This window comes from Homo sapiens, chromosome 1, assembly GCF_000001405.40.
Source record: "Homo sapiens chromosome 1, GRCh38.p14 Primary Assembly".
NCBI lineage: Eukaryota > Metazoa > Chordata > Mammalia > Primates > Hominidae > Homo > Homo sapiens.
This window is the reverse complement of record NC_000001.11, coordinates 9,672,125-9,694,315: the sequence shown is the minus strand read 5'-3', so window position 1 is coordinate 9,694,315 and position 22,191 is coordinate 9,672,125. Positions and strand designations below refer to the sequence as shown.

At 51.3% G+C, this 22,191-nt stretch overlaps 1 protein-coding gene and 1 long non-coding RNA gene across 41 annotated transcripts in view, besides 7 other annotated features; one reads left to right on the top strand and one right to left on the bottom strand.

Annotated features, from left to right (window-relative positions):
- Nucleotides 1–22,191, bottom strand: part of PIK3CD (phosphatidylinositol-4,5-bisphosphate 3-kinase catalytic subunit delta) — a 101,857-nt gene that overhangs the window by 34,799 nt on the left and 44,867 nt on the right. For 21 of the 38 annotated variants that reach the window (XM_047422557.1, XM_047422553.1, XM_047422555.1 and 18 more), the window contains one exon: nucleotides 2,745–2,849. The exons of 4 other annotated variants lie outside the window; for them this stretch is intronic. The gene's annotated coding sequence lies outside the window, so the exon portion shown is untranslated. Of the gene's footprint in view, nucleotides 1–744; nucleotides 845–2,744; nucleotides 2,850–3,489; nucleotides 4,504–4,594; nucleotides 4,773–6,002; nucleotides 6,684–22,191 lie in introns of those variants that run through there. 13 more of the 38 variants (XM_006710687.3, NM_001438338.1, NM_001350234.2 and 10 more) reach the window with 6 other exon arrangements.
- Nucleotides 3,332–4,013: an enhancer, noted in NCBI's record as "H3K4me1 hESC enhancer chr1:9750361-9751042 (GRCh37/hg19 assembly coordinates)". NCBI's record gives its function as "activates a minimal SCP1, AML or CMV promoter by ChIP-STARR-seq in naive and primed H9 embryonic stem cells {active_cell/tissue: H9 hESC(naive and primed)}" and the evidence as "EXISTENCE:reporter gene assay evidence [ECO:0000049][PMID:30033119]".
- Nucleotides 4,014–4,697: an enhancer, noted in NCBI's record as "H3K4me1 hESC enhancer chr1:9749677-9750360 (GRCh37/hg19 assembly coordinates)". NCBI's record gives its function as "activates a minimal SCP1, AML or CMV promoter by ChIP-STARR-seq in primed H9 embryonic stem cells {active_cell/tissue: H9 hESC(primed)}" and the evidence as "EXISTENCE:reporter gene assay evidence [ECO:0000049][PMID:30033119]".
- Nucleotides 4,014–5,101: a biological region, named in NCBI's record as "H3K4me1 hESC enhancer GRCh37_chr1:9749677-9750360".
- Nucleotides 4,542–5,101: a silencer, noted in NCBI's record as "silent region_230". NCBI's record gives its function as "represses an Ori minimal core promoter by ATAC-STARR-seq in GM12878 lymphoblastoid cells {active_cell/tissue: GM12878}" and the evidence as "EXISTENCE:reporter gene assay evidence [ECO:0000049][PMID:35858748]".
- Nucleotides 6,108–6,302: a silencer, noted in NCBI's record as "fragment chr1:9748072-9748266 (GRCh37/hg19 assembly coordinates)". NCBI's record gives its function as "represses an EF-1alpha promoter that drives an FKBP-Casp9 reporter gene in an ReSE screen in K562 erythroleukemia cells {active_cell/tissue: K562}" and the evidence as "EXISTENCE:reporter gene assay evidence [ECO:0000049][PMID:32094911]".
- Nucleotides 6,628–6,767: a silencer, noted in NCBI's record as "silent region_229". NCBI's record gives its function as "represses an Ori minimal core promoter by ATAC-STARR-seq in GM12878 lymphoblastoid cells {active_cell/tissue: GM12878}" and the evidence as "EXISTENCE:reporter gene assay evidence [ECO:0000049][PMID:35858748]".
- On the top strand, nucleotides 6,742–21,890 carry PIK3CD-AS2 (PIK3CD antisense RNA 2). 3 transcript variants are annotated; one of them, NR_126366.1, is made up of 3 exons: nucleotides 6,742–6,981; nucleotides 13,181–13,604; nucleotides 21,597–21,890. It is a non-coding gene; the product is annotated as a PIK3CD antisense RNA 2 (long non-coding RNA). The 3 variants fall into 3 exon arrangements; NR_126367.1 differs by lacking the exon at nucleotides 13,181–13,604; NR_126368.1 differs by lacking the exon at nucleotides 21,597–21,890 and having other exon boundaries at nucleotides 13,181–13,471.
- Nucleotides 6,818–6,987: an enhancer, noted in NCBI's record as "active region_136". NCBI's record gives its function as "activates an Ori minimal core promoter by ATAC-STARR-seq in GM12878 lymphoblastoid cells {active_cell/tissue: GM12878}" and the evidence as "EXISTENCE:reporter gene assay evidence [ECO:0000049][PMID:35858748]".

The window sequence follows — 22,191 nt, the reverse complement described above, 5'->3', positions numbered from 1 at the left end:
TGATGATCCTCCCGCCTCGGCCTCCCAAAGGACTGGGATTACAGGTGGGAGCCACCGTGCCTAGCAACAAGCTGGCTTTTCAACAAGGTCCCCCTCAATGTCAATATGTGACAGTTATTTTTCTCGTGAGATCAGTCTGGTCAGACAGAAGTCCTCCAAGGGTCTGCCCAGAGGCTGTATGGAAGCTGCGGTGTTCGGGGAGCTACCCAGGATATGGTCTCACTGCTTGGCAAACTAACTCGCTTGACCCTTTCGTTCTCCATGCAGTGCCTCTGCTGCCCTGGGCTGGGCCAACCTCTCTGAAAACACTGCCTGCCGGAAACCTGCCACCTGCTGGGGTGGGGAAGGGAACCATCTGGCTATGTGGCCTGGGGGGGTGGTCTGTCACCCTACCATGCTCTTTCAAGTAATCTTCCTGCTTCCAGCCCACCCTGCACACACCACCTTTCGAAGCACTCCATCCCCAGAGCCCCCATTCCTTTGCCTTTTCCACCTGCCTCCCCCATGGCCCAAGACATTGGACATTCTCCACTCAGCTTCCCTCTCGCCTATCGGTTTCCTGTCCTGCAAAGGTTTTGTTCATACCACCCTCCTCAACCATTTACTTTTCTAGTTTTTTTTTTTTAAGAATTTACATTTTTTCTTATTCCTTTACTTTCATTTTAGTGGGATTTTGAAACAGAGCAGAGAAATACATATATGTTCGATTGTTATGTTTATGTCAAAGTCTATAATAATACTTACTAATAAATAAAAGTCAAGTTTTAAAAGGTGCAGACACAGGTCAGGGCGTGGAGGCTGACGCCTGTAATCCCAGCTCTTTGGGAGGCTGAGGCAGGTGGATCCCTTGAGGTCAGGAGTTCGAGACCAGCCTGGCCAACATGGCAAAACCATGTCTCTACTGAAAAAAAAAAACCACAAAAATTAGCTGGGCATGGTGGCGCACACCTGTAGTCCCAGCTACTTGGGAGGCTGAGGCAGAAGAATCGCTTGAACCCGGGAGGCGGAGGTGGCAGTGAGCTGAGATTGCATCACTGCACTCCAGCCTGGGTGACAGAGCAAGACTCCATCTCAAAAAAATTAAGTAAATAAATAAATAATAAATAAAAGCTACAGACAGAATTCTCTCTGAGGGGTTTGGGGGAGGATACTCCAACGAGGAAACAGTGGTTTTCTCTGGTGCGGGGTGGGGTGGCGGTAAGATGATAGACGAGTATGCTTGTATGTTTTTGGTATTTTCCAAACTTGACACTAATTTCCTATTTTTATAAATAAAAAAGCATGAGGATTAAAAATATTATTAAAAGGCATTTTCTGAGACAAAGATCAAGTCAGTATAAATAGATGTGTGGAAGAAATTCTAATCCTCCAACAGGGGTCTACATGATCTATGGCTTTTGCTTATGTGCAGGGGAGCGCTGGGGTTCCAAAGAAGCACCCCAGGCCTTCAGAGGTAGGTGGGAGTGGGACAGGGTGCTGAGCAGAAGGAGTTCTGGGCTAGTTTCTCTTACAGTGGCTGTTTTGATCTGGTTTATAGGTTAAAATTCTGCTTTATATTTTGATTTATTTTATTTATTTATTTTTTTGAGACGGAGTCTCACTCTGTCACCCAGGCTGGAGTGCAGTGGTGTGATCTCGGCTCACTGCAACCTCCGCCTCCTGGGTTCAAGTGATTCTCCTGCCTCAGCCTCTCGAGTAGCTGGGATTACAGGTGCCCACCACTACGCCCAGCTAATTTTTTGTATTTTTAGTAGAGACAGGGTTTCACCATGTTGGTTGGCCAGGCTGGTCTCGAACTCCTGACCTCGTGATTCGCCCACCTTGGCCTCCCAAAGTGCTAGGATTACAGGCATGAGCCACGGCACCCGGCCTATATTTTGATTTTTAAAAAGAGATCCGCAATCATCAAACAAGTTTGGAAAGTACCAATGAAGATCTAGAGAAAATGAGGCTGAGGTTGGGGAAAAAGCCTTTAAGGACGCCACCGCGCTCTAACCCCTGCCCCTTTCCATCCTGAAATGACAGTAGCGTCTCCAGTGGAATTCTGGGTACACACAGAATATGTTATGCACCCAGAGAGCTTGCAAGGGGACCGGCAGGTCTCGCAGTCATGGAGCTCCCAAGCCAGACCCAGCTATTCCAGGCCCCCAGATGGGTGTGGTAGCCAACGTCCAGCCAGTGTCGGTCTCTGGCCTCAGTGTCCTCATTTGCACCATGAAAGGACTGCATTCATCTTCTAAGCTAATGTCCTAGAAACTCTGAAGAGCATCCTCTTACTGAGACAGTGACTGCCAGCTCTCTGAAGACACAGAACGGCCCCACCTAGGGACTCCTTGAGAAGCAACACTGAATTATAAAAATTCAATCCATTTCCTCCAGAAAACTTTTAATATTTCTCTCCCCAGTCAGGCGAGTCCAACGCTACCGTGGCCAGTGTGAGTCAAATACCAAATGCTGCAGCTTAGTAATGGGCTCCAGGACTCCTCAAAGCAAAGCCATTCCTTCTTTTCCCAGGCAGCAGCATCTCTCTCCTGGGAATGGCTGAGGTCTAGTTCACTTCCCCATTCATTCGCTCCTAGCACCAATTTGGGTCACTCTCTTCCTCTGGGTGTGCTAGTCCTACAGAGAAGTCTTCCTTTGGCTGGAGAGTCGGGGAGGATGGGTTTGTTCACATTCTTAACCTATCTACAAAATAACATCTCCTTTCCCTTCCCCCACACACTTGGCCCGTTCCCCCAACCTACCTCTCTGGAATAGTCCAAGAAAGACCAGCAAAGCCCCCTCCGCCTGGCAGATTAAAGATGCTTTAGAATCAATGAGTGTCATCCCGCCCTGGCCTGACTCCTTATCTGTTGGGGAAAAGAAAGAAAGAAAGAAAGAAAACTATTTTAACAAGAGAGAATTTCAGAAACCTGTGCATTCTCTTACAGGACGTTAGCTCAAAATCAACTGCTTCATCTAGGTCTCTCCTTTTTGCAAACCAATCACATTCCACTTGATCGGCCTTTCTTGCCATCTGCGTCAATGCCACCCCCAGCTCCCTTTGGTGGTACTGAAACCAACCACAGGAGCATTTCCAGTGCCTGGAGCAGGAATGTGCACTCAGATGACTCAGATCGTTTTTAGAGCTGTTTGTTGGTTTTGTTTGGTTTTTTGAAAGCAAAGTAATTGATCTGAGCCAAGCCTGGGTTCGAGTTCCATTCGATGGATGCAAAAAGCAGGTTGGTGAACTTGAAATCTTTATTCCCCATGTGGATCTGTTTTCAAGGCCCAGGTCTAAAGGAAAATTCATGCCCTATTGGGCTGGAGATAAAAAGGAAGAGTGTGAGGGGAGGGGCCGCCCACTCCTTGCATCTGTGGTGCTTCTTCCCCCACCTCAGCCGCTCCAGGAAATAACAGAACCCCAAAGAGGGAAAAAAGACACTAGAGCTCCAGCCCAGTCTAAAGACCCAACCCCTTCTCCCAACCCCAGGCCCTGGGCATAGCTACCTCCACAGCTGGGAGCCTTCGGCCCAGAGCCCACTAGGTGGGCTTCGATTTAGCACAACACCAAAACCACCGGCTTCTCCATGAGTCAAACAGCAGAGCCCTAGGAACCCGCTGGAAAAGGCATGGGTTGCAGGAACACATCTCCCAAGGACCAAGCTGGAGTCCTCCCTGCGGCCTCTATCCCTGCAAAGATGCTCCGGGGACCCTGCTGCGGGAGCCCAGGCATGCGGGCTCGGATGCTCCCTTCCCTCAAAATCCAGGGGACAGTGGCAAGCACTTCGCAAGGCACTGCCACCAGAGAAACAGGAGGTCAGCACCAAAGGCTAAGGAAGAAATCCCTTCCATTGCTGACCAATTAAGTGACTGGCCAATACCCGTTACCACGACAAATTATAGTAGCTCTGGCACAGGGAAATGAGACAGGATCATAAGGAAAGCCCTTTCAAAACAGGAAAAACAAAGCCAAAAGCAGAGGGAGCCGAGAAGGAAGAGAAGGAGAGAATTCATCCTCAGGAATTCGGGTCAGGAAATAAGGAGCCAGGACAAAATCCACAAGAGGGCGGCCAGGGAGAAGGCGCTCCCCCGGGGAGGAAGCCGCAGGACCTCAGGATCTGGGTCTGCCACCCTCTAGCCCCCTTGGGCTCAAGGGCACAGCTCGGGAGGGACAGAGCGCAGGAGGCTCCGTCCCGAATAGGGGGCAGGGGGAGGGGAGGACGCGCACAGCCACTGCTGGGTCCCCGACAAGTAAACAGCCTGCCCCGAACAGGCGCGTCCTCGTGCGAAGCCCGCTGGAGGCCTCACGGATCCCATCAAGGGCGGCAGCGGAGAAACCTGGGATTCCTGACCCCCGGGGGGCACAAAAGGAAGCAACCAGATTAGGAGAGGAGAGCGTCGCGCGGCCCATAGCTGAGAATCCCACCGCGAACGCAACCCCCTGCCTCGGCCCCCCAAGCCCCCACGGCCCCGGACCCCTGATCGCCTCCACCGACCCTGCCCACCCCGCCCCAGGCGGACAAAGCCCGGGGCTGGGCGGGGTGGGACGCCCGGCGGGGCTGGGGGCGGGGCACGGGGACCCCGCAGACGCCCGCACAGGTGGGCTCCGTACCGGGTGTCGCTGCCGGGGGCGGGGCCCGATCTCCCTGGAGACAGTTGCCCAGGGGACACAGCGGGCGGGTCCCGGAGTGACGGGAAGACGCCAGCCTCCGGGCAGCGGCGCGGGGCCGGCGGGGGCCGGAGGGCAGGCCCGCCGCGCGAGGTGCAGGCAAGCGGGGCTCGGCGGAGGGGCGCGGCCCGGGGCGGGGCTGGGACTACTGGCAGGCGGGGCGGGGCGCCGGCTGGGGGCGGGGCGTCCTCGGGGCTGGGGCGGGGCCGGGGCCGGCGGCGGCGCGGGCACCGTCGGCAAATTCTCACACCCCCAGCCGGGAGAAGCGCCCGAGCTCACACGGGCGGCGGAGAGAGGAGTGGACGCTGCAAATCCTCCCCGACCCCCGCTGTTCTCGCCCGGAGGCCCAGGACGCTGCCAGGCGGGGCCCTTGGGGTTCGCACCCTGAGCCCCAGAGCAGCCGCGGGACCCCGACGGCGCGCGCACGCTGGCTCTGGCCTAGGTTTCACCTTACAATCAATAAATAGAAAGCGCCACCTGCAAAGCAAGGGAGGGCTGGTCGTCCACCAAACTGCTTTCCGCTCCCCGCTTTGCAAGGCATCCGCAGAAAGGGCGGGGTACTGGACCCAGGTCACAGAGCCGGAGCCAGACTCACTCGAGTAATTGGCCAGCCCGGGCTCTGGGCTCAAATCCAGCCTGCTGGCTGTTCCCTAGCTGATGGGCCTTTCCATCGGGGGTTCCCTTATATGTGAGATTTAGAAAATAAATGAGTGTACCTAGCACTTTCACTAATGCATCTATCCATTACAACGGGCGGTGTGCGTGCAGTAACAACACCGAGACAATCCTTGTCCCGCACTTAAAAAAAACTCTGGGCGCTCCAGTGTTTTTGTTTTTGAGACAGGGTCTTGCTCTGTTGCCCTGGCTGGGGTGCAGTGGTGCGATCATAGCTCACTGTAGCCTCTACCTCTCTGGCTCAATCGATCCTCTCACCCCAGCCTCCCGTGTAGCTGAGACCTCAAGTGCGCACCACCTCACTCAGCTAATTTTTTAAAATTTTTTGTAGAGGCGGGGGTCTAACTATGTTGCCTACGCTGGTCTCGAACTCCTGGGCTCAAGCCATCCTACCGCGTCAGCCTCCCAAAGTGCTCGGCCAGGCGCTCCAGTTTTTATCCAGGCATCTACACTGTAAGATAGATGTTGTTCTCCCTTGGTTGTAAGTGGGGAAGCCGAAGCTAGGCGGGCAGGGACTCTCACCCTCACGTACTCACACAAACACTGTCTGCACAGCCTCTTGGGCAGAGCTAGCGCTGGCACCAGTTTAGTTTGGTGCTGAAACCATACCCCTCTTGCTCTGCAAGAGCCCATCTCCCCTTAGAATATTCTTTCGGGTCCACAGCCCAAGACAAACCTTTGCCACAGGGGAACGCAGAGGAGGAAGCGGGGTGCGAGCACCAGAATCAGCCCTGGCGTGTCCCGCGGGGTGGTAGAAGGTGGTTTGAAGAACACTCCTTGGTGGTCCTAATTGCTGCACGTGAGGTCAAGGCAGGGCCGCCCATCCCAGGCAGATGAGCTCCAGGAGCCTTCCTCGTGCCTGAGAAGACGGCAAGGAGAAAACACTGCCGGCTGGAAGCCCTCGAGAATCTCGAAGAAGCCCAGAATGAAAGGACCAGGCGGCCGGGACTCGGAGCTCCCTAGCCAGGGCGCGCGCAGCCAGGCCTGACGCTTCCCTCCGCCCTCGGCGGCCTCTGCGTCCTCCCAGCACCCGGCAGCCTTGCCAGGGGTCCCGGATGCCCAGAGCACCCCCCAAGGAGGAGAGAGAAGAGAGGGAGTCCAGGATGAGAAGACGGGGGGCCAGGGTGGGAGGGGACACTCCTCTTCCCTGGCCGTCCCTAGAAGTCACACACAGACATTCACTCAAAAAGACACGCATGCAGATGCGCACACACAGACACAGGCGCAATCATGTAAACGGACACACAGAGACCACAGACGCTCGTGCTCATACACGCGCTCTCGCTCTTCACACCCTGCACCAGGTGGGCACTCACCCGCCCGCACCCTGGCTGTGCTTTCACAGATCCCGGGAGAGGGCGGAGCCCGGGCCGGGGGCTGGAGACCGCCCCCGGCCCCGCCCCCACGCCCTCCCATCTCTCCCTCCTTCCTGCCGTCCCCCGCCTGAGGGAGGGGAGCGGTGCAGCAGACATCCGAGGGCAGCTGGGACCCCCTGACTCAGCCGACGGGTGAGTCAGGCTCCCTGCAGGCCACACCGGACCCCCCCAGGGCGGGGATTTCCCCAAGATGAGAAATCAGCCACCGGAAGTCACGCCGGACCTTGGACGGGCAGACAGAGGCTGGGAGGAGTTCTGGGTGCAGAGCCCCCCAACCTGGTAAGTACAATGATCCCAGGGCTAGGACACCAACGAGATTTTCCAAAGGGCAGACGAGCTTCAGCGGTTCCTCCACCCCCATTCCCCACGTGTGGGAGCCCTCCTCCCTAGCGGCCCCGTCCTGCAATCGTCCCCCTGCGCGAAGACTTCCGTTTATCTCCAGCATGGATGGAGGGAAAGTCAAGCTCAAACACAAGGTCCCCATCAGCAATGGAACCCAATGATCCGCTGGGGGTTCAAATTGGGGGTGTCAGGCACGGGTGTCTCTGGAGCCCAGAGAAAAATCCAAGATTCTTTGAAATGGCAAAAGCCCCCAAAAGTGACTTTCTTGTATTGCCACGATGAACTGGAACTGCCCTGACAAACTCTAAAAAGATAGAGACCTTAATAAATTGTGTAGAGAAGAATTAAAAGAGTGAATACAGATGCATGGAAAATCTCTAGAACAGTGCCTGGCACTCATATTAAGTATTGGCTCTCACACATGGATAACAGACACAAGGAGACCAAGTGACTTGCCCCAGGTGGCACAACTAGTTAGTGGCAGAGATGGAGGAAAAACCAGTCTCTGATTCTTTGTTCACAGCTCAGGTACCTTCAGTCCTTTCTGAAATTAAGTGAGAGTATAAATAAAGTCATTTAGTGGATAAATGAATTTTACCACTGTTAAATATCAGAGTAGACCTGGCACAGTGGCTCACGCCTGTAGTCCCAGCACTTTGGGAGGCCAGGGCAGGAGGATCACTTGAGCCCAGGAGTTCAAGACCAGCCTGGGCCACACAGTGAGACCCCCGTCTCTATTTTAAAAAGAAAAGAAAAATCAGAGTAAATTAAGGCGGGCACGGTGGCTCACGCCTGTAATCTCAGCACTTTGCGAGGCCGAGGTGGGAGGATCATTTAAGGCCAGGAGTTTAAGAACAACCTGGGCAAAACAGTGAGACCTCGTCTCTACTAAAAAAAAAAAAAAAAGAAAATTAGCCTGGCATGGTGGCATTTGCCTGTAGTCCTAGCTACTTAGGAGGCCAAGGGAGAAGGATTGCTTGGCCCAGAAGTCTGCGGTGAGCTATGATGGAGCCAAGAAATTAGATTCCTGCTCCTCTACTTGCTACTAAAAGGGCCAATCCTCTTGTTAAATCCCAAAACATAAGGCAGGAAACCAAATGAGCCTCTGCTCCCACTCATTGGAGCCCTTGTTCCCTTCAAGGAGCCCTAGAAGATGGAAGAGTATTTGCTGCATCAGTCACTTCTCCCTCTCCTGACACTTTGTGATGTGTGATTTCATCACACTTTTGCTGTGATGAAATCTCAGCTTCTCCCAAATGCTCACCAATATCCTAGCCTCCAACCTGGCTGGAATTCTGCTATTCTCTTTCTAACTCAAATTGGCATTCAGCATTTCTAGGTGTGGTCAGGTAAGACACCACTGCTGAGTGGGGACAAGACCAGGAAGGCTAAAGTCAGAAAAAAATCAGAGGCAAAGCCAGGCACGACTGAGGGCGCCTGTAGTTGCAGCTACTCACAGGCTGAGGCAGGAGGATCGCTTGAGTTTGAGGCAGGAGGATCGCTTGAGTTTGAGGCTGCAGTGCGCTATTGATAGCACCTGTCAATAGTCACTGCACTCGAGCCTGGACAACACAGTGAGATACTCATCTCTTTAAAAAATTTTTAATTATAACTGCTGGGCGCAGTGGCTCACGCCTGTAATCCCAGCACTTTGGGAGGCTGAGGAGGGCGGATCACCTGAGGTCAGGAGTTCGAGACTGGCCTGGCCAACATGGTGAAACCCCATCTCTACTAAAAATACAAGAATTAGCCAGGTGTGGTGGTGCATGCCTGTGATCCCAGCTACTCAGAAGGCTGAGGCACGAGATTCGCTTGAACCTGGGAGGCGGAGGTTTCAGTGAGCCCAGATCGAGCCACTGCACTCCAGCCTGGGCAACAGAGCGAGACTCCATCTCAAAAAATAAAAAAATAAATTAAGTATAACCAAAAAAAAGCAACTAAAGACAACAACCAAAAACAAACAAACAAACAAAAAAACCAGTTACATGTTTGCTTTTAATTCTATTAGAATAAACAGGAGGGCTCCAAAAAAATCCTCAAAGGAGTTTCCATATTTACTCACATATTCCACCCTTGATATTTTTATTCTCAAAGCACAAGAATGAGGGACCTAATTATAAGAGGCCCATGCTCTCCTGCCATCCTTACATATTTTCATTTATCTTTGAGACTCTCACCCCTGGGTAACTCAAAAAGTGGCTCATCTGTAGTTAAAAAGCAAAGTTAATTAGCATCTGGCACTTCCTTCTTTCCTTCCTCAATTCTCCAAGCTTAGACTAAAAGTCTGTCTTAATTGAGGCTTCCTGAGTTTGTGACCTGGGGCAGGAGTTGAGGGGTTGGGGATATAAGCAGAGAGAGAAAAAAAAAAAGCTTGGGTTTGCATTGCTCATTCTTTTTTCTTTTTTCTTTCTTTTTTTTTTTTTTTTGAGACAGGGTCTCACACTGTGACCCAGGCTGGAGTGCAGTGGCGCTATCACAGGTGCTTGACCTTGTGGACTCAGGTGATCCTCCCACCTCAGCCTCCCGAGTAGCTGAGGTGTGTGCCACCATGCCCAACTAATTTTTAATTTTTGTAGCGATGAGGTCTTGAGGTCTTGCTATGTTGTCCAGGCTGGTCTCAAACTCCTAGGCTCAAGGGATCTGCCTGCCTCAGCCTCACAAAGTGTTGGGATTACAGATGTGAGCCATCACACCCAACTGCATTGCTCTTTCTTTTTTCTTTTTTTTTTTTTTTTGAGACGGAGTCTCTCTCTGTCGCCCAGGCTGGAGTACAGTGGCACCATCTCAGCTCACTGCAACCTCGGCCTCTTGGGTTCAAGCGATTCTCCTGTCTCAGCCTCCCAAGTAGCTGGGATTACAGGGGCCTGCCACCATGCCCAGCTAATTTTTGTATTTTCAGTACAGATGGGGTTTCATCATGTTGGCCAGGCTGGTCTCGAACTCCTGACCCCAGGTGATCCACCCTCCTTGGCCTCCCAAAGTGCTGGGATTACAGGCGTGAGCCACTGCGCCCAGCCTGCATTGCTCATTCTTTCAAGTATCAGCCAAAAAGCACGTGTGGCTCGTGGTTGCAGGGACTCCTCCCATTGAGAGATGGCCTCTGTGTCCCCTCCTCTTAAATCTAGTGGGCTTGTGACTGCCAAGAGAGTATGGCAGCAGAGATGCTAAGTGACTTGAGAGGTGAGGCCATGAGAAGCCATGCCGCTTCCTCCTTGGTTAGAATGCTGGCTCTTGGAATTCTGAGCATTAAGTTAGAGGTCTGACTACCCTGACGCTGCCATGCAGTGACACAACCCAAGCAAGCCAGAAGGAGAAACCATGTGAAGGCACTCAAGTTGACAGTCCCACCTGAGCCCAACCTTCGTCATCCCACCCAGGTACCAGACATGAGTGATGAAACTTCCAGATGATTCCAGACCCCACCTGTTCAAGTTGTTACCAACCCCTTGAGAGTCTTCCCAGCTGACTCCAGATATCATGGGAGCAGAGCCAGGCCGTCCTGCTGAGCTCTGTCGGAATTCCTGGCCCCTGGGACCGTGAGCATCACAGTGTTGCTTTATACCGCTGAGCTTGGGACAGGCTGTTATGTAGCAAGAGATCCCTAGAACTCTGAAGATCTCATAAAATCCTCAAAACAACCCCACTAAATAGTTACAATAGTCATCTTCATGAGGAAACTGACGCCGAAGCCGTGCAGGAAGTGACAGAGCAGGAATCAGAACCCACCTGGAACCACCACCTAAAACTGCTTCTAACACCAAGTTGTCCCACTGCTATAAGGCACAAGGCTCGTTTTTTTTGTTGTTGTTGTTGTTGTTTTTATTTTTTTTTTTTGAGACAGAGTCTCACTCTGTCGCCCAGGCTGGAGTGCAGTGGCGCGATCTCGGCTCACTCCAAGCTCTGCCTCCCGGGTTCACGCCATTCTCCTGCCTCAGCCTCCCGAGTAGCTGGGACTACAGGTTCCCGCCACCACACCCGGCTAATTTTTTGTATTTTTAGTAGAGATGGGTTTTCACCGTGTGAGCCAGGATGGTCTCAATCTCCTGACCTGGTGATCCGCCCGCCTCTGCCTCCCAAAGTGCTGGGATTACAGGCATGAGCCACCATGCCCAGCCTGTTTTGGTTTTTTGGTTTTTTTTTTTTTTTTGAGACAATGTCTCCCTTTGTCACCCAGGCTGGCATGCAGTGGTGCCATCTTAGCGAGACCCAGCCCCCCAAAAAAAAAAAAAAAAAAGGTCCAGGGCCCAATCCCAGTGGGGAAAGCGTTTGACACGTCCCACCATGGCACTGGGTCACCCCTATGATGGGTTACACCATCTAACAGAAGTCAGCAGAGACATCTCCTTTCCTGGTTGGCCCATGAGTGTCCCTGAGGGACAGGGTCAGTTCCCACTAAAATGGACATCCATTGTTACACATTTAAAACCCCAGTGGTGGCTCATGACTGTAATCACAGCACTTTGAGAGGCCAAGGAGGGTGGATCACCTGAGGTCAGGAGTTTGAGACCAGCCTGGCCAACATGGTGAAACCCTGTCTCTACTAAAAACACAAAAATTAGCCACCTGTGGTGGTGTGCACCTGTAATCCCAGCTACTCGGGAAGCTGAGGCAGGAAAATCGCTTGAACCCAGGAGGCGGAGATGGCAGTGAGCTGAAATCGTGCCACTGCACTCCAGCCTGGACAACAGAGTGAGACAGCGAGACTCCGTCTCGAAATAAATAAATAAATACCCAGGCCAGACGTGGTGGCTGACGCCTATAATCCCGGCGCTTTGGGAGGCCGAGGTGGGCAGATCACCTGAGGTCAGAAGTTCGAGACCAGCCTGGCCAACATGGTTAAACTTCGTCTCTCCTAAAAATACCAAAAATTAGCCAAGTGTAGTGGCATGCCTGTAATCCCAGCTACTCAGGAGGCTGAGACAGGAGAACCCTGGAGGCGGAGGTTGTAGTGAGCTGAGATGGCGCCACTGCACTCCAGCCTGGGCAACAAGAGTGAAACTCTGTCTCAAATAATACTAATAATAAAATAAAAAATAAAAACGCAGCCTTGGCTAGGTGTGGTGGCTCATGTCTGTAATCCTAGCACTTTGGTAGGCCAAGGCAGGCAGATCGCTTGAGCTCAGGAGTTGGAGACCAGCCTGGCCAACGTGGCAAAACCCTATTTCTACAAAAAATACAAAAATTAGCCAGGCGTGGTGGTAGTCCCAGCTACTCAGGAGGCTGAGGCAACAAGATCACTTGAACTCAGGAGGTTGAAGCTGCAGTTGGGAAAAGCTGAGATTTCATCACAGAGAACTCATAGCTGGTCCAAAGCTAAGTCCTGGGCAGACTGAAATCCCTTCCAGAACAAGCTGGCTCATTCTCCAAAGCTAAGTCCCGGGGAGACTGCAGTCCCTTCCAGAACAAGCTGGATCACTCTCCATATGAAACTACATTCAGTTACTTCCGTCCTGAGATTCTCACCGTTGTGTAGCCCCCACCCACATTCACAGTCAATGTGACCTAAAGAATATGGCACAGTGATGGGATAGCACCTTTAACATTAGATTATAAAAGAATCCGGGCCAGGTTTGGTAGCTCACACCTGTAATCCCAGCACTTTTGGAGCCCGAGGCGGGGAGGCGAGCAGATTGCCTGAGGTCAGGAGTTCAAGCCAGCCTGGCTAACATGGTGAAACCATCTCTACTAAAAATACAGAAACTAGTGGCGCACGCCTGTAGTCCCAGCTACTCGGGAGGCTGAGGCAGGAGAATCGCTTTAACCCGGGAAGGGGAGGTTGCAGTGAGCCGAGATTGCGCCACTGCACTCCAGCCTGGGTGACAGAGTGAGACTCCGTCTCAAACAAACAAACAAAAAAAGCAGCAGCAGCAGCCAGGCATGGTGATGCATACCTGTAGTCCCAGCTGCTTGAGAGGGTGAGGCTGGAGGGTTGCTTGAGCCCAGGAGCTGGAGGCTGCAGTGAGCTCTGATTGTGCCACTGCACCTCAGCCTGGGCAGCAGAGACCCTATCTCTAAAATTAATTAATTAATTAATGAAAAAATTAGGTTATGAAACATCACTGGGGCTTCAGTCTTGGGCTTATACACCCCCTCCCCTCCCCTCCCCTCTTCTCTCTCTCTCTCTGTCTCTCTCCAGTGCTCTCATCTCTTGCTCTGGGGTAAGCCAGTGGCCATGCTATAAGGACACTCAAGCCACCCTATGAAGAAGCCCACATGAAGAGGAACTGAGATATCTGGCCAACAGCCAGCCAGTCACTGAGCCTGCCAACCACGCTGTGGCAGGTACCTCCAGCCCCAGACACCTGCAGCCTCCACTGAAAGCTCAATGGCAGCCTCATGAGACCCTGGACCGGAACCACCCAACGAAGCGGCTCCTGTATTCCTGATTGACAGAAACTACGGGATCATAAATGCTTGCTGTTCAGTCTGCCAAGTGTTGGCGTGATTTGTTAAACAGCAACCAGTAACTAATACGCCACCCATGGCTGCCGCGTTCCTGCTGTGGGGCCAGCACTATTCCATGCTTAGAGGCTCCATCAATACCTGTGATGGACTAAATGGTCAGTACAAACAACAGCTCCTCTGTAATGGTATGAGGCAGACAGGTTTCTAAAGGCAATATGCTAAGGTGCAAACTCAACCCCAAAAGACCACATAGTGTATCATCCCATTTATATGAAATGTCCAGAACAGGCAAATCCATAGAGACAGAAAGCAGATTAGTGGTTGCCAGAGGCTGAGAGATGGAAGAAAAGTAGAGAGTAACTGCTAATGGTGTGAAATCTCTTTTTGGAGTGATGAAAATGTTTTAATTTTTTTTTTTTAATAGAGACAGGGTCTCACTATATTGCCCAGGCTGGTCTTGAACTTCTAGGCTCAAGTGAGTTCAGCCTCAGCCTCCCAAAGTGCTTGGATTACAGACATGAGCCACCATGCACAGCTTAAAATTTATGATGCTGATGGTTGCATAACTGTGAATATACTAAAAACCACTGAGGCGGGGTTTGGTGACTGACACCTGTAATCCTAGCACTTTGGGAGGCCGAGGTGGGAGGATCACTTGACACCAAGAGTTTGAAACCAGCCTAGGCAACATAGCAAGACTCCATCTCTACAAAAAATTTAAAAATAAAAATAAAAACCATTAGGCCAGGCATGATGGCTCATGCCTGTAATCCTAGCACTTTGGGATGCCAATGCGGGTGGATCACCTGAGGTTAAGAGTTCGAGACCAGGCTGGCCAACATGGTGAAACCCCATCTCTACTAAAAATACATAAAGTAGCCCGGTGTGGTGGTGGGCGCCTGTAATCCCAGCTACTCGGGAGGCTGAAACAGAAGGATCACTTGAACCCGGGAGGCAGAGGTTGCAATGAGCCGAGATCACGCCACTGCACTTCAGCCTGTGTGACAGGAGTGAAACTCCATCTCAAAAATAAAAACGAAAACAATAACAACAACAGCAACAAAAAACCATTGCATTGTGCACATTAAATGAATTGTATGGTATGTGAATTCTAGCTCAATAAAGCTTCTTATGCTAAAACATGACGAGGAAGAAGAGGAGGAGGAGAAGAGGCAAAGTCACTGGTGCCCAAGGAATGGCACCAGGAGTGGTCTCCAGGAAGGCTGGCCACCTGTAGGGCTGGGAGAGCTCTGTGATGCTGACATCAGGGGCCTTCTTCATGCCTGAGAAACAGGACATGGGCTAAGGGCGGCTAACCAAGGCCTGGGAGAATATTGAGAGGTAAACAGGCGATGTGGGTGTGGGGCGCTCAGCCTACTTGGCCAAAGGGTGAGTTCTTGCTAATTTCACAGGGAGAGCCTGACTGGTCTCAAGCACCTGAGGCCCAGCATGAGAAGTCAACATCCCTGACTTCTCATCCTCTATAGAAATTTCCCCCAGACCAGGCGCGGTGGCTCACGCCTGTAATCCCAGCACTTTGGCAGGCCAAGGTGGGCGGATCACCTGAAGTCAGGAGTTCAAGACCAGCCTGGCCAACACCGTGAAACCCCGTCTCTACTAAAAATACAAAAATTAGCCAGGCATGGTGGCACGTGCCTGTAATCCCAGCTACTCAGGAGGCTGAGGCAGGAGAATCACTTGAACCTGGGAGGCGGAGGTTGCAGTGAGCCAAGATCGTGCCATTGCACTCCAGCCTGGGCGACAGAGCAAGACTCCATCTCAAAAAAAAAAAAAAAAAAAAAAGTTTCTCCTGACTACCCGGAAAGAAGGTTCACACACCCAGCTCTCGCAGGCATGCTTCCCCATGTGCCTAAGCCAAGGCCCTTCCCACAAAAGGGGCCTTACACATGCCCCAAAGGATGGTCCTCTTCCAGAAATGAGCCGATGATACAGTGGAGAGTCACCCAAAGACGCAGGAAAGTCGATCCTTGCTGAAAGCCCCAGAAAGGGGCTGTAAATTTAGGACAAAGGATTTAAATGGCAGGGGCAAACTTGTGCAATGTCTTCTTTAAGAGGTGGTCAAGAAAGAAAATAGAAACAGGTTCAAGACAGACTTTGAATAGGTTGCTGGCAAGTGTGTCTTACAGAGGTGTCACAGGGTCAGAATGATTTGCCCCTTTGAGGTTGGTTTCAGAGTCAGAATCTCATACGACAGAGAAGCTAGAGGTTGGACCTAAACAGTCCTTCCCTGCACACCAACAGAGTCTGTGGATGAAAGAGCCTTTTTCTGGAGAGAGTCCATGCTTTTCTGCAGGTTTTCAAAGGGATTTAAAATCTGAGACAGGTTAGGAACCACTGGGTGACGTGGTTCTGGGGTAGGTGGAAGATGGAGTTTTTTTCTTTTTCTTTTTTGGAGACAGGGTCTGGCTCTGTCACCCAGACTGGAGTCCAATGCCATAATAGGCTCATGGCAGCCTCAACCTCCCGGACTCAAGCGATCCTCCCGCCTCAGCCTCTCGAGCAGCTGGGACTAGAGGTGTGTGCCACCATGCCTGGATAGTTTTTGTGTTGCTGTTTTTTGTAGACACAGGGTTTCCCTATATGGCCCAGGTTGGTCTCAATTGATCCTCTTGCCTTGGCCTCCCAAAGTACTAGGACTACAGGTGAGAGCCACAGTGCCCGGCCGGATTTTTGTTTTTTTGTTTTTGTTTTTTTTTTTTTTGAGATGGAGTTTCGCTCTTGTTGCACAGGCTAGACTGCAATGGCGCGATCTTGGCTCACTGCAACCTCCGCCTCCCGGGCTCAAGTGATTCTCCTGCCTCAGCCTCCCAAGCAGCTGGGATTACAGGCAGGCGCCACCACACCCAGCTAATTTAGTATTTTTAGTACAGACGGGGTTTCACCATGGGCTGGTCTCGAACTCCTGACCTCAGGTGATCTGCCTGCCTTGGATCTCTCAAAGTGCTGGGATTACAGGCATGAGCCACCACGCCCGGCCCAGATTCTTTTTTTTCTTACTCTGCCAAATCTATATTTTATAAACTTTTAATAACTAACTTGTGTTGATTCCATGTAATTAAAAACGTACAGTATGCATGAATAAACACATTTATAAAACATATGGCATATATATTTAAAACATCCGCATGCACGATCTGGAAGATCACGGCCTATAATTCCCAGATGCAGCCTCTGCTGTAATTTTTTTTTTTTTTTTTTTTTTAGACAGGGTCTCACTTTTTCACTCAGGCTGGAATGCAGTGGCACCATCTTGGCTCAGTGCAGCCTTGACCACCCTGGTTCAAGCGATCCTCCTGCCTCATCTCCTCAAGTAGCTAGGTCTGCAGACATACGCCACCACACCTGGCTAATTTTTGTATTTTAGTAGAGACGGGGTTTCACCATGTTGGCCAGGCTGGTCTTGAACTCCTGACCTCAAGTGATCTGCCTGCCTCCGCCTCCCAAAGTGCTGGGATTACAGGCGTGAGCCACCGCACCTGGTCTGCTGCTGCAATCTTAAGATGGCCATATAATATCTCTTAAAACTACAAATTCCACTTTCCTTCTTCTGTCCTGACCTCAACTTAATCACAAACAAACAACCTCCCTCCCAAAACACACACACACACTCATGGCAGTCCCCCCGTCAAGTGTCAGCTATGTGGTAGTTCGCCCCATTCTCCTGGGGTGAGATCTGCAGCTGGCTCTCTGCCCAGGCACTCGGCACTCAGGCCCTCCTTCCCTACCCGGCTGTCAGCTTAGGGGTCCTCCTCCACCTATCCTCGTGAGATCTGCAGACAACCCTGTAAGCTCTGAACCAAAGAGGAAGAAATCCTGGGGATGACATAGAGGGCTCTGGACACCTCATCCCACCAGTCATTGTCCTGGTCACACTCTCTCCTTGGCAGGGGGCCCGTGACAATGCTTCCATTCTCAGAGCAGGTCTCTGGGCCACTCCTGCCCCTGGAGCCTCTGGGATCGGTTCAGACTCTGTCCCATAGCACAGCCTCTTCATCTTTCAACAGGCTCATCTTCAAGGCTACAGCGGCCAGCCCCCATGACTAGGCACCTGATGTCCATTTTCTCATTAAACATTGTGACAAGCCCCGAAGGCAGCCATTCAGTTTTATGAATGAGGAAAGTGGGACTCAAGGAGGTGACGGGGAAGGAAGTGGGTTTAGGTTTATTCTGGAGCCTGCTCTTTACCACCGTACCACTGCCTCTCCCAGGCCAGTGCACTGGAGCCAGATGGTATCAACTGCCAGCTCAAGGACACCTAGGTCAACTTCCCAAAAGAGGCCTAGGGGTTGGGCAAGGAGGCCATTGAGATTGTAGAGGCCAGGCCTTGCTTGCCCCTGGCATTGGGGAGAATGGGCACCACCCCAGGCCAACTGGGGAAGGGCCAGGCACCAGAGCTGCGTCCTTCTGCCCACTCTTGCTGTAGAGGATCAGAGTCCAAGACGCCAACTCCATCAGACACAAGGACCTTCAAGAGCAAGGAACTAGGCTGGGCACGGTGGCTTACGCACTATGGGGGGCTGAGGCGGGAGGATCACTTGAGCCCAGGAGTTTGAGACCAGCCTGGGCAACTTAGCAAGACCCCATATCTACAAAAAATCTAAAAATTAGCTTGGTGTGGCTGGGTGCGGTGGCTCACACCTCTAATCCCAGCACTTTGGGATGCCAAGGCAGGTGGATCACGAGGTCAGGAGTTCAGGACCAGCCTGGCCAACATGGTGAAACCCCATGTATAGTAAAAATACAAAAATTAGCTGGGCATGGTGGTGGGCACCTGCAATCCCAGCTATTCGGGAGGCTGAGGCAGGAGAATCGCTTGAACCCGGGAGGTAGAGGTTGCAGTGGGCCGAGACTGTGCCATTGCACTCCAGCCTGGGGGACAAGAGCAAGACTTCGTCTCAAAAAAAAAAAAAAAAATTAGCTTGGTGTGGCGGTGCACACAGTAGTCCTAACTGCTCAGGAGGCTGAGGCAGGAGGATTGCTTGAGCCCAAGAGGTTGAGGTTGCAGTAAACTATGATCGCAGCACTGCACTCCAGACTGGGTGACACAGCGAGACCCTGTTTCTAAAAAAAGGAAAAAACAAAACAAAAACAAACAAGGAACTCTGCCTGGAAGTCCAACTAAGTCCTGGGAAGGTGGGGACGGGGGGTGGGGGTGAGGGGACAAGTGAAAAAGAGCCAGGAAGCCCCTCCTGCATAGCCGCCTGACTCCCAGAGGCCTCCTGAGTCCTCCTCCCTGGGATCTGGACTCCCCTCCCCCAACCCAGCACTTCTTCCTGGGAACAAGCCCGTGTTTGGAGGCAGCATGGTGCAGGGTTAGGAGCAGCCTCTGCCACTTTCTGGCTGGGTAAGACTTAGGTAAGTTACTTCCCCTTTCTGTGCCTCAGTTTCCCCATCTGTAAAGTGGGAATCACAGTAGTACTTACCAAACAGGGTTGTCTTTTTTTTTTTTTTTTTTTTTTTGAGACGGAGTCTCGCTCTGTGGCCCAGGTGGGAGTGCAGTGGCGCAATCTCGGCTCACTGCAAGCTCCGCCTCCCAGGTTCACGCCATTCTCCTGCCTCAGCCTCCCGAGTAGCTGGGACTACAGGCGCCCGCTACCACGCCCGGCTAATTTTTTTGTATTTTTAGTAGAGACGGGGTTTCACCGTGTTAGCCAGGATGGTCTCGATCTCCTGACCTCGTGATCCGCCCGCCTCGGCCTCCCAAAGTGCTGGGATTACAAGTGTGAGCCACCGCGCCCGGCCTCAAACAGGGTTGTCATAAGGCTAATTAGCTTAGCATTTCTTTCTTTCTTTCTTTCTCTCTCTCTCTTTTTTTTTTTTTTTTTTACATTGCCCAGGCTAGAGTGCAGTGGTGCAATCTCGGCTCGCTGCAACCTCTGCCTCCCAGGCTCAAGCAGCGATCCTCCCACCTCAGCCTCTGGAGTAGCTGGGACTACAGGTGTGCATCATCATACCTGGCTAATTTTTGTATTTTTTTGTAGAGATGGGGTTTTGCCATGTTGCCCAGGCTAGTCTCAAACTCCTGAGTTCAAGCAATCTGCCCACCTCAGCCTTCCAAAGTGCTGGGATTACAAGCATGAACCACAGTGTCCGGCTAGCTTAGTATTTTCCTTTTCTCTCTTTTCTTTTTGTTTCTTTTTTTTTTTTTTTTTTGAGACGGAGTCTCGCTCTGTCGCCCAGGCTGGAGTGGTGCAGTGGCATGATCTTAGCTCACTGCAGCCTCCACCTCTCCGGTTCAAGCAATTCTCCTGTCTCAGCCTCCCGAGTAGCTGGGATTACAGACACCCACCACCACACCCGGCTAATTTTTGTATTTTTAGTAGAGACAAGGTTTCACCATATTGGTCAGACTGGTCTTGACCAGTCTAGAACTCCTGACCTCAGGTGATCTACCCGCCTTGGCCTCCCAAAGTGCTGGGGTTACAGGCATGAGCCACCGCGCCCGGCCAACCTTCGTATTTTCAAAGTGCCCAGTACACTGCCTGGCACAGGGTACATATTACAAAAGTGTTTGTTGTTATTAGATACAGAAACGGCAAGCTACGTTAATGAAAATGGCAACTTTCAGCTGGCAAACGGCAAAGCTCCTAAGTACAAATGCTACTGACAGGACCCACGGGAAAAGAAACTTTACCTGATGCCCCCTTTCTGGAGCATGTGCTCATTCTCAGAGTGAGGGCTTCCCCTAGTCCCGGAGGGATTTCTAAGTTGAACCTGCCTCTGGCCCAGGCTCTGTGATCCCTACGACTTACCCTGACTCCTACCTAGCAGAATCAGGGGTGAATGGCGCTCTCCATGCCCTTACCAAACACCCTGGCCAATGGCCTCTACGTGCTGACCACCCCCGGGGTGCCATGGAGTCGAGCCTTCCTTCCTGTCTCTGCATGCCCACAGAGGTCGCCATGCCTGCTCCAATCGGATGGCAGTTGTTTACCTGTGTAATCATATAATGTAATTATTACATAAGAGGGTGCACCCTGGGTGTGAAAGGAGCTGATTCCATGAAGAAAACAAAGCTGAGTGCTTCAGAAACCTAGTAAAAGACAAGTCACCCAATAAAACAAACTTCCTGTAGAATTATGGAATTAGACCAGGCAAGACAACTGTAAAATCTCAGCAGGAATTATTAAAATGTAGAAGGAAGGCCGGGCGCTGTGGCTCACATCTGCAATTCCGGCACTTCGGGAGGCTGAGCTGGGAGGAATGCTTGAGCCCAGGAGTTCGAGACCAGCCTAGGCAACATAGCCAGACTTCGTCTCTACTAAAAATCAAAAAAATTAGCCAAGGCCAGGCATGGTGGCTCATGCCTGTAATCCCAGCACTTTAGGACGCCAAGGTGGGTGGATCACTTGAAGTCAGGAGTTCGAGATCAGCCCGAACAACATAGTGAAAACCAATCTCTGCTAAAATACAAAAATTAGCCAGATGTGGCGTTGTGCACGACTGTAATCCTAGCTACACGGGAGGCTGAGGCAAGAGGTTTGCTTGAACCAGAGAGGCAGAGGTTGCAGTGAGCTGAGATCGCACCATTACACGCCAGCCGGGGCGACAGAGGGAGACTCTGTTTCAAAAAATTAAAAAAATAAAAAAATTAGCCAGGTGTGTGTGATCCCTGCTTACTTAGGAGGCTGAGGCAGGAAGATGGGTTAAGCCCAGGAGGTCAAGGCTGCAGAAAACCGTGAGTGAACCACTGCCCTCCAGCCTAGGTGACAGAGCGAGACCCTGTCTCAAAAAAAAAAAAAAAAAGTAGGATTAAAAAAGTGGATTATACGTTGCATGTACGCCTCATACAGAAAGATGAACCTGTGACCTACTCAAACATAAGCCCTTGGCCATCTGAGAGCAGATCAGGGAACCAATGTACACTGACATATTTTAAGTGAAAATGAAATATTTATTGGGAAGGGAGAAATAACAGTAGCTGGCATCCATAGCAGCTTCTCCAGGTGAGTGCTGCTGGAGAGGTATATAGGACTCTGTGCGGCTAGCCACGGAAAAAAATAAAATAAAATGTTTACATTTGAGGTAATGCATCTTAATAATTCTCTACCTGAACCAAAGTCAGTTACTCAACCAACAAAGCACATTGGATAAAAGTGCTATTAAACTATTCGTTTCTCCACCAGGCACGGTGGCTCACACCTATAATCTCACCACTTTGGGAGGCCGAAGTGGGAAGATTGCTTGAGCCCAGAAGTTGGAGACCAGCCTGGGCAACACAGCAAGACCCCTGTCTCTACCGAAAATGAAAAAAATTAGCTGGGCATGGCAGTGTGCACTTGGGAGCTACTCAGGAGGCTGAAGCGGGAGGATCACTTGAGCTCAGGAGTTCAAGGCTGCATTGAGCTATGATGGCACCACTGCAGTCCAGCCTAGGAGACAGAGCTAGACCCTGTCTCTAAAAATAAATAAATAAATAATCTCGGCATTTCTCATCCTAATTGTGTCTAATGGTTCATCATCCTCTTTGGTACTAATCCACATTTTTAAAACTGGTTGGAGTCGCTGTGCTGGGAGTAGCGGAAGCCACAGAAAAAACATAAACATCTTCCCAGAGCACCCATTTGACTCTAAAGTTAGGGGAAAATATGCTTTATAGTAAAATAAACATGGATATATCATGGAATCGAATGTAAAATTAACATTAGCTTTAAAAATAGAAGTTGAAGCTTCAAAGCGAGGTCGCAGTTGGGGTGGGCGGCTGCAGGTCAAGAGCTGCAC